Here is an 11,531-nt window from a genome sequence, read left to right on the forward strand (position 1 = left end):
CATGAAAGAGAAAGAACAATATAGGCATCTTAATTTCTAAAATAATTATCTTTGGGGTCACATATACATTGAGTTGTTATTCAATGTTGGGAACTGTGACCAAGGCCAAACTGGAAACATGCTTTAACTTTCAGGAACAAAACTATCAAGGTCAGTTAATCGGTCTTGCACTAGCTAGTATTGGTGGTGAAATGCATGCTAGTTTCATATCACTGCAAAAATCAATGGCCATTGTTTAGAGCAAAATATCAATATAAAATATTGCATAAAATGAATTTGCAAGTTAGATACTTCATGTATTAAGAGATGCTTATGGGGGCATGAATAATCTCAAGAGCAAAAATTGGGACTGCTATGAAAGGTTTAGGGAAGGTCTCCATGATGATGCATGACTGGGTCATCTAGTCATCCACAGGACAGATGGAAATATTGAAAAGGTCAGAGATTTGCTTCATTAAATGTCTTTATGTCTTGCAACTGCGAGAATGATGTCTGAAGAATCCAATTTGGATGAAGAAGCTGACTTGATCTGGAAGAAACCCTAAACACAAGCAAAGTTTCTATAAAGATGTCAATTCATTTTAAGTGATGAATGAAAACAGAAGGTTTGACATTTGTTTTGAACTTTCCAGGGAAGCTCAAAAGAAAAAGATGTTCTTGAGTAAAATAGTAACCAGGGAGGAAAATGGTTTTTCTGGTGTGATTAAGAAACAAAAGTGTTAGAATCTTCAGAGGCAAACTTCGGTCTGCCAGAGACCCCAAGATAAGCGCAGAATCCAACTACAGATGAGGATAATGGAGTTGTGCTATTTTTCCAACAACCATGGCACTGTCATGTAGAATTCACCTCTCAAAGGTAGTCAGACTAATAGGATAGACATTCTGAAGCACTGGCAGAATTATGTGGTTGACTTCTTCACCACCACAGTGTTATGAATGATACATCACTTGTGTAATTTTCATTGTGCTTAGGCCACTCAATAATTCTTGTGGGTTCGGCTCTGTCCTAGGTTCTTGGAACAATCATAGTTTGGCACAGAAGAAATATTAGAAATTCAGGCTTACTCTGACCTTGTCATCTCATGACTTTACTTGGGATCCTACTTAATTTCCTATAACTCTTCTAGAACCCAAATCTCATATTTGGTCCCCCAATTAACACTCGAGATCCCTGAGAGTAGGATTCTGGTTTACCTCTCTACAGGTCTTTTTAATCCTTACTTGAATACTATATTTCTATCTGCTCTTGGGTTTCCTGGACTCCCTCTGCCTATTTCTTGCCTTAACCTCTATTATTGCCACTGCCATGTCACCCTGACAATTTGTCACCTGCTTGAGCATGCTCCATAATACTTAGACCCATCTTAGAGTTAGTATCACACTGACTTGTCTGTTTAACTTTCAGATCCTGGCCTTCTCTGATTTGGCCCAAGGGCCTGAACTGCACTTAAGAACTTGTAACTAAAACTGATAGTTAAAGAATCTAACTTAGTTGAATGGTATGACTCAACTTAGTCTCCAAAGTTATTTATTACAGCAATCTCGGAAAGACTCTTGGCTATTTGTAGCATGCAAATCTATTCTCAAAAGATGAAAGTTAACCTCAGCTAAGCAGGACCAAAAGTCTGTGTCGAAGGATCTAAAAAATATACTCGAAAAGAGTCCCAGTGTTTTTTTTAAAACATCAGTGGAAAAAGTGTGTAGTTTCCCAGGGAACTTCTGTGAGAGGAAAACTCTCATTTGGATTATAAATTCTGATGGATTTGTCACACAATTATTCCTGTCACTTTGCTATTACTGTGAAACAGAGTTTGATATCAGCTTTGTTAAACTCCAATCTTGACCATGCAAAGAGTATTGAGACCTTATAGTCCCCACGCTGTATTTGTGTCTTCATTCATATTTATGCCAGCAATAATCTTGCACTACAGATGAAGTTGGGGATGGAAGGTAAACTTGAGGAGCCTGTAGAGCTTGAGAAGAGGAAGAAACAGATTATGCATTAAAATTTAGAAATCTTGGAGACCCTGCCAGGATACTCTGAATATAGTTTGCCTCTATTTTTGGTTTGTACTACAGTTGACCTATGCACCCCACTCTGAATCCCAATTCATTTGGCTGGGATCCTGATACCTGCCTAACTCTTGGAAGTTCCTTCTTCCTCAGGTCCTGGACTCTACCTCTAGGTCCTTTCTCTGGAGTTCTACTTCTAGGCACACTACTCTGCAATTTAATTCTAGCTTTTCTCCTGAAAATGATTAGCCCTACTGCCCAGAGAGCCACTTTGCCTTTCTCCTTCCCAGCCTGGCCCTTTGGTATAGCAATGCTAATACAGACAGTCCCCTGATGTTGAGGCAGATACTGTTGGCAACTTTCTTTTAGACCAGGCCCAAAACCCACTTTGCCTTTTCTTGTATCAGACTTGCCTGTTCCAGGTTTCCTCTCCCTCTTTCCTGAGCAGCTGCTGAGGTACTAGCAAGCCATCTGGCTGAAACAGCAGGGTTAAAGTACAAATTGAAACTGGAGCTCTTCTAATCTAGTATGACAGTTTGTACTGATCAGGTTAATGGGGATAATTTCTCTTTGGCTTGTACAGAGACATGAAAATTTAATCTGATCTGCTATTAATTACTCTGTCCAATCATTAACATAGTGTTTCACTAAATAAAGAAAAATCTATTCACACGGCAGAGGCAAGCGTTATCAACCAACGCACGGTAATAGAAAAGTATTGCCTTTTGTGTCCAGCAGGGAAGCTGTGCTACCACTGTAAGTAGGACATGTACTTTGACACGTTTCTCACCATTAGGGATGGACTGTCCTAAGCCAAACAATCTCTTCCAGTTCCCTCTGGGGGATTACACACATTTGTGAGATGATCGGCAGGGGATACTAAGGTGCACTGTGGTTTTGGGAACAGAGTGAAACTAATTGGCTCACAGGAAGATTAAATAATCACATCTCTAGTGAGAGCAACAAAATGCCCTATCAAATAAATGAAATGACTCTAGATGGCTCTTTTCCCTTCTTTTATTAACAAGTATTTATTGAACAATTATTCAGTGTTAAGTGGCTGTGCTGGGTGCTGAGGATGCAATATTCAAACAAAACTGACACAATCCTACCTTTGCGAAGTTTCTAGTGCAAGTAGGGGAGAATTATATATATAATATATGTATTATATATACACATATATTATATATGTATATATGTGTACATATATACACATACATACATGTGTGTATATATGTATATATATAGTCAGATAATTATTTGATTGCAGTTGTGAGAAATTTATAATGAAAGAGAGTCAGGGTGCTCTAAAAGTATATCATAAAGGGACTAGATATACCCCAAAAATTAGCCAGATGAAAAGTGGGGTGAGGAAAAAGAAAAAATAGCATGTGTGAAGGTACTGACGAGGCAAGTGGGTCAGGAACTTAAAGCCGGGGGGGGGGAAAGTTTAGAGAGCAAGAAAAATGCAAAAGATGAGACTGGAGATTTAGGCAAGGGTTTATATCTGTGTAGGCCATGAATGGATTATGGATGGACTACATGTCATTAGAGCTTGTGACAGGTAATCATGGCCACTTCCATGGAGCATTTGGGCTTTATTTTAAGGACAATGGGAAGTCATTGAAGGTTTCTAGGTTTAGTTGATCTTGGGCTAGTAGATATTTTTTTAAGTTTCCCAATGGCCAACACACTAAACATACCCCTGGACCTGTTTCAGAAACCTGGACTCAAAACGAAACAAAAGACATGTATGGATGGAGCAGGTAAGGCATTTCTACTCTGCATCTGCACAGAAGTCTAAGCAGAACCCCTGAGAGGCTGAAGAGTAATTACATTTCTACTCTGGATCTGTGTCTTAACCACAAGGAGTGTGTTCTGCAGGCTCTATTTCATAATTGAAGGTAATTACAGAAGTTAAAACTAGATTAGAGACAATTAGACCCTATACAACAGGGAACTCTGTGGGTGGTCAGGAAGGGAGTAGGGAGAACCAGCTGGGAAAGTGTTTCCCCAAGTACTTGGCATCCTTTGACTCATTGTAAGCAGAGGTTTTTGAGGTGTCTGTTAATGCTTCTGGTGCCTTTTTACAATTTGAGAGTGTTGGCCGGTGAAGTGAAGTAAACACATGCACACACACACACACACACACACACACACACACATCACTGACAACCAGTCAAGATTACCTTTTTCCTCAAGCCATAGGGCTTCATAGGCCAAGAGCCAATAAATAGAAGCAAAGGGGAAAAAAATGTAAGGATTGCATACAATTAACTTATTTGAGCAACTGTTTTTTGTCCTGTTCTGGATCTAGAGACTGTGGGGGAGGCATGGTAAGCATATGATCTTGCCTTTAAGGTGCTTCCATGTGTATTTGAGAAGTTTGATATGGCTGGAGAATATATCAAAGTGGGAGAAGGGGAATGGTGAGGGGTGGGCTCAAGAGATGTCCAGAGGCCAGGCTAAGGAGCTCCGACTCCATCCAGGAGCACTGGGGAACCAAGGAGGATGATAAACAGGGAAAGGACAGGATCGTGTTTGGACTCCAGAAAGATCCATCTGGCCACTGTGGGGTGGGTAGATGGGGAGTGTGGCAAGGAGCAAGGTTGGGGGGCTCAGTTGAAGCTGCTTGTGGAGGGAACTGGGGGTGTCTAAGATCATGAGGAGAATGGTGGGGAGGAGAGGCCAGTGCAGAGAGAAAAAGGTGACTTATTTTAGTCTCTTTATTCAGTACACACCCATTGCTTTGATTAGCCATTGATTCATTTAATCAACAAATAATTATTTTGCATCTACTCTGTGTAGAGCACCATGCTAGGAAAAGTTAAAAGGAATTTTATTTCAGTCTGTGATGGACCTGATTAAGTGTTCAAGTGAGTGGAATAGTCAATAACCACTCTAGGATGTTAGAGACAGTTCTGATCAGTGATGAAAGTGGATGATCTCAGAAACAACAGAAGGTGAAGTGTAGCAGTTGGAATGCACATGAACACTGAGAAGCACAGTGAAGGGCGCTGCTAGACAGAAGCTAAGAGGGTGTAATAGGAAGGACTGGAGGATAAGGGATGGGTAGGGTATAGCGACTATGTGTGTATGTAGGTATGTTTGGGGAGTGTGTGTGTATACACATGGACACAAGTATATAATGCAACCAGAAAACCTTAGGACCAACAAATATTTCTATAACGTGCGTACCCACACACACATGCATGCACGGAGGTGGAGAGAGAGAGAGAGAGAGAGAGAGAGAAAGAGAGAGAGAGAGAGAATGAGAGAATTTTGTGCCATGTAGCTGTTGCTACAAGCTTGATTCTTTCTAATTTCCCCTTAAAAGGCATCTATACATGGTGGTGTAGCCTGATGGAGTCACATTTGTTTTGGTAAATTTACTCTTTCCATGCAGGGTTAAACTTTAAGATCCCAAGAGCATTCGGCTGTAGAACCTGAAGGAGGGCGCTTGCTTTGGTCATTTCCCCTGGAATAAGGGAGCAGCAGTGGTCTGAACCCCTAAGTACTCAGCCTACTACCTGGCCTCCTTCAGAGAAGCACAGGCTGCTGGGAACAGGGACTCCCTGGGGATGACGAGCGCCCACTGACTCATGAGCCTCCTCGCAACCTTTTTAATGTCCTTGCTTTTCAAGCTGTAGACGATGGGATTGATCATGGGGTTGAGCACAATGGAAGCTCAAGGAAGAAGACACTAAACACAAAGAAGTACATGGGGGTTTGGAGATTTCAGTCAATGAAAATGACTCTAAAGATGAGAATGTTCCCCAGCAAGGCAACTATATAGATTCCCAGAAATATCCTCAAAATGAAAAACTGTAACCCATGGAGACTCCCAAATCCCAGAAGGAGAAATCCTCCTTTAGGTCCTAAAGTGCAATGCTCTTGGGATCTTCAGGTTTATCCCTGTGTGGTAAGATTAAGTTTTCTTTGATCATGGTCAGATTAGTCATATCTGTGAGATTCAGGCATCAGATGTGAGAAAAGAAAACAATTCTAGCTAATTAGAAAAAGAGTTATGCTACCAAAGGAGAGCAATGGCACCAGAAATGCCATCTAGCACATACCTCAAAGGCTCTGTTTTTTCTCCCCTGGAATACATTTTCTGTTTTGTTCTACTAGGTGTATTTACCTAATAGTCATAGAGGAATCCAAAAGTATGCCCTGGAGACTGAACAGAAAGGGCGTTTCCTCTGCTCTTTTCTACTATTTCCCTTGACATAACCGGTGATGAATCTACCTTTGGGAGTTTCACAGTGGGAGGCAAGCACTACTTAATGGGGACATGGTGCAGAAGCTTCTCTGAACTTAATATTGCCCGAACTTCTGAAACTCAGCTTTTAAGACTCAATAGAAATGTGAGTACAAATCCCAAAATAACGTCAGAATTCAGACCACCCTATCTCCCACTGAAACCCTGAATCAGGGTGGGTTTCACCAGGAACATAATTGGAGGGAGGAGGGGGATTCAGAACTATTGATCTTAAAGTATCTGTAAGAAAAACAAGAGTTTCTTCCAGGCTCTGGGGATATGTGGCTGATCGCTTCCATGGCATCAAATTCCTATGGAAATTGGGGGAAAATGTATGTAAAGTTATTCACTTGAAATGTTAGAGAAAAATAATGTTCCATCCTTCATAAATGAAAATGACATTCCTGACTCACAAGCAGTAGGATGTGCATTTAGAGTTATTTTTCTTTTCTAGCAGTGATGATGGGTTAGAGTGAGTCATGGATGTAGCCTCCCCTTCCCCACATGCCGCCCCGTGGTGCCCAAAGACCCATATTTGTGAAATGACTGTCTGGTCTTAGTGGCTGGGCTGTGATGGGATTTGAGATCAGTCTGCCCTGTGACCTAAATTAGAGGTAACTGTGAGGCCTGAGTTAGCAGCTTAGGTCAATTGGTGTTCTAGGCTGAAGGCTCAGTCTGTAGCCAGGGAATATAGCCAAGCCATCTTTGTTGCTTTGTTTTGGGTAATGGCAAAGTGTCCCTAAAAGCTTACAGAGAAATCATATTTTAGTAAATGCAATCCTATTTTAAATCCACTTAGGGAACTGGCTATTCAAAGGAATGTTATTAAGAATGCTTCTGTGATGTGAAATAATGTCTTCATAATTTACCCTTTTCATCAATCTGTATTGTTAATACACTGCACATGTGTAAGGGCAAGTCCACCTATAGTTGGGGGATCCAGGACATCGTGGCTGCCTAAGGTAGTACTGATTATGATTACAGCGTGTAAAGAAAATCAATCAGCATTCAGGGTTATCCCTGGGGGTAACAGCTGCTTTCTAATTGGGGGATTAAACTGCAGTGTCCTCTTACCATTTTACCTTGTCTTCAGAGACTGCCAGCCAGTATTCAGAACTGACATTAACATTGTTAGATTTGTATCATTCAATCCCAAGTCTCCTTAATTAGTAATGGAATAAACTTCACTTTCCCTTTTGGCTTATAGGCATGCTCCTTGGTACCTCCAAAGTCAGAGGCACATCAGCCTCCCTTAATCCCTTCCCATCTTCTCTTTTCTTGAAGTGAGGAGAAGTTAATGTAGACGCAAAAGAGAGGCTTCAGCTCAGGGCTCTATTCATTCTTTCATTCCTTCATTTATTCACTTACCACACCTTTGGACATATACTTTGTATCACCTGTTGAGCTAAGTAGGCACTGGGGGAATAAAACCATGAACAAGGAAAGCATGGCCCCAACGTTCCTAGAGTTTACATTCTAGTGGTAGAGGGAGATATTTAACATATGATTTTACAAATAATGGTGACATTACTATTGTGATCAATGCTATGAGGGAGAAATATAGGGTCCTGATACAAAGAATAATATGCATGGAGAGGTGACCTAGTTTCTGTGAGTTGGTCTGAAAAGGAAGTCATATTAAAATACAGTAGTCCAGGTAAGAGATGATGGCTTAAATCAAGCTTGGATGCAGTAAGATGGATTAATTTTAGGTCTTTTTACATAGTAGCATTGATATTTCTTTGTGTACTTTTCTGTATATATATTATACATTAATTAAAAGTTTACTCTAACAAAATAACATAGAATGTTGATGAATTGCATTAGGAGAGAGCATGAGGCACAAGAAGGAATTAAGGATGAATCCCAGGATTTGGTTTAACCAACTGCACAGATGATTATGTCTGTTCCTGAGGTGGGAAGACCAAGTAGGTAATTTAGTTGGCAGTGTGGAGAGGGGGATATATTTTTTTCTTTTCCTTTCCTTCTTTTCTTCCCTTTTATCAGATCTAGTGGGTTATGATCCATTTGTGGGATGACAGTTTCAATTCTCATATGGATCAGTAAACTGTTGACAGACACAGCTGTGGCCCTGAGAGGCAGGGCTCTCACCGTGGCCACAAAACAAGCTCTTAAAAAAAGTCTCACAAATTCTTGCCCTTGGTCTCAAAAGGGAAGAGAGTGAATAGGTCAATGTACCCTTTACTTGCTCAAAGCCCAGGGTTAGTGATTCCATGTCAGGGATATCTCTTTGCATGTGAAGCATGGGAGATCACATTTCAATGTGGACTGTTAGACTCCCTTTGACATGAGTCTCCAGAAAACCTTCCTTAATCGCAGTGCCACTACCCAACAATTTCCATTATCTGAGGCCTAAAAAAATTGTTTTGTTTCATTTTGCTTTTGTGTGAGACAGATGACAAAAAAAAGAGCTCAGTCAAAAAAACAATTTTCAGAGGATGTCCTGGGGTCAGAATACATTCAGTCCTACTCTTTCTCTCTCCTCCATCTTCATTTACAGTTCCGGCCAATCAGAATTAATGCTCAAAATGATGGCTGGAGGTTCTAAAAGATCCTCAATCAGTAAAGAGTGATTCAAGTACATCATTATACTCGATTTACTAAGTAGGGACAGTAGACTCCGATATCTTAACAGAATTTTTAAAAGCAAAGACAATGGAAAACATCTTTGTTCTTAACCTCCAGTTACCCAGAAAATCTAATCAACCATATCCCCTTTACATCTTTCTTCTGATATTCCCTTAATCAGGATTTGTCTCAGTACTAATTCTCTTACATCGTTTTGATCACCAGAAGCTATGCATTAGCATGAAAAGCTGTTTGGTGGACATATAAAGTACCCCCCTCCAGAGTTCATACCCCCACCCCCAAGATGTTAATAATTACAGAAATATGATAAAATGGAAAGTGTAGCAGCCTAAGTAGGGAGAGAGAGACTAGCTATAGAAGCTGAAACTGATTACCTTTTCTAAAGTCAATCCAGGAAAACCTCTTGGAAAGAAGGGCAGTGAGGAGGAATCCAAAGAACAGTTGAAAGTTGGATGCTGGAAGGGGGAAAAGTACGGCTAGACAAGGAGAGTGATGATCTGGCTGTACCAGTCAGGTACCCAGTGATCTCCCTCCCAACCTCCACCTCTATTCATTAAAACAAAAGATAAGTAACAAATACATAACACTCAAGTATGCTCTTGGATCTTTATCCTCCCCAAAGTGCAAATGGCTGCTATCAGGGGCAATTGTTTAATAATAAAGATCAGGGGTAGCTGGTAAATACAGAAGATCATCTTGATAGCCCAAGTCTCACTATTTAGTTCAACTCTTGGTCCAAATATGTATTGCCCTGTTTCTGAAAGTGCTGAGAGAAATTAAGCTGGCGAGCAGGCAAACTACCCAGAGATAGAGACTGAAAGGGCAGAGAAGAGAAGACACCTTTGACTGGTACTATACTAGCGCTCCTAAAAAAGAGGAAGTTGATTTTGTTGGTCAACTCTCTCTAAAAGTAGTGCTTTTCTTGAATAATTCAATTTTGTGCCATGCAGCAGGAAAATTTGGTGGAAAGTTTCTTTTTTTCCTGTGAAAACAACTTGTGGAAGATAATAGACAGCTCACTTTTTAAAGGAATTGTACATTAATGCAAGAAGCCCCCTGGTGTCCAGGGGAATGATTCTGTTATTTGTGTTTTTGCACCTTGAGACCTGGAGACAGGCATTATTGAGACCTGGAGACAGGCATTTCTGAGATGCCTCAGACAAATATTATTGAGACCCAGAAATAGACCGGAAGATAGGCATTATTGAGACTTGGTGACAGATATTTCTAATTCAACTATATTCTTTTGTGCCAAATACATTTTTTCCTGTTCTGTTCCATTTGTCAACACGACAGACAATGAAACAGGCCAGGAAATATTTTGAGCCAAATGATTTGTGATGTGTCATTATGTGACATACCTAGCCTAAATGTGAAGAATGACAACAATTATCCAGGTAAGTTGTGCAAAGAATAACGAACTCATACTTTTGGTCCCAACTTTCAAGATATTTCACATAAAAATTTTGGGAGTCTAAATAACCTAGATAAAAACCTAAAGTTTGTCATTTAACCTACAAATATAGACCAATTATGGCTGTTATGTTATAGCAAAACATCTGAAATTGATGGAATTCAAAGAACATTCAGTCAATAGAAATTCTAGAAAAAAAACCACTTGGCCTTTACAATGCCTCATACTCAGCTTGAATGAGTTTACTTTCTAATCAGTTATATTTTTCTAATCGGCTTCTTCTGTTCATCTTGCTCTCTGGGGAAAAAATTGCATTTGCTAGATTTTCTATGCCTGCTCCATTCCCTTATAGCTAGGAGAACTGGAACATCCTGATCTATCATTCTAATACTTACTTGCTCATACCCTCATGGTGCTAGCCCTCTGAATAGTGGGGACATTTATTTGCTTGCATCCTTCACTCTTTGTCCTGGTGTTGGATGATAGAAAAAAACCTGAGTACCTCTCCTACTTGCTGCTCTCTAATCTCTACCCCATAGCATTCACGGGCTTTATCTATCACCACTCATCATTTCTTTTTGAAGCTCCCTGCTCCTATACTCCCATTCTCTGATGATGACAAATTTTACAGTTGTTAGCAAGCTGCCATAGTCATAGGAACATGGTAACTTCGGTCTGTACTAGAGAATTTATCATATCATGGGGAAGTAGTATATTGTAGTAGTTAAGAGCATAGGCTTTCATGTCAGACAGTCCTGAGTTCAAGTTCTGACTCTGCCATGTACCATGTGACTCTGGACAAGGAACTAAACCTCTTGGTGTTTCAATTCTCTCAGTTGTAACATGCAGAATACTTATGACAACAAAACTACTGCATACCTCATAGTGTTTTATTTAGGATTGAATGAAATAATCTGTAAAAAGTGTTGGCAAGGTGCCAGCACTCCATAAGTGCTCAATCTCATTCTCATTTTGCAATGTGGCGCGTATGTATACCATTACTTTTAAGTTGTTTCTTGTGTCGTCGCCCTCAAAAAATTGTAAGTGCCTCAAAAGCTAAGTGCAATCTCACAATTTTTCTATTGTTTTCCCCTGATTTTCTCCACATGTCTAACACAAGAGGTGAATGCCCAGTAGGAGCTTAGTAAATGTTTATTGGTATCACCTTTTCCCCATCCCAGCTAAAATCTGCAAGCTCTATTTTGGTCACTACTGACAGAAATCCAGAGAGAT

This window comes from Homo sapiens, chromosome X (genome assembly GCF_000001405.40).
Source record: "Homo sapiens chromosome X, GRCh38.p14 Primary Assembly".
Lineage (NCBI taxonomy): Eukaryota > Metazoa > Chordata > Mammalia > Primates > Hominidae > Homo > Homo sapiens.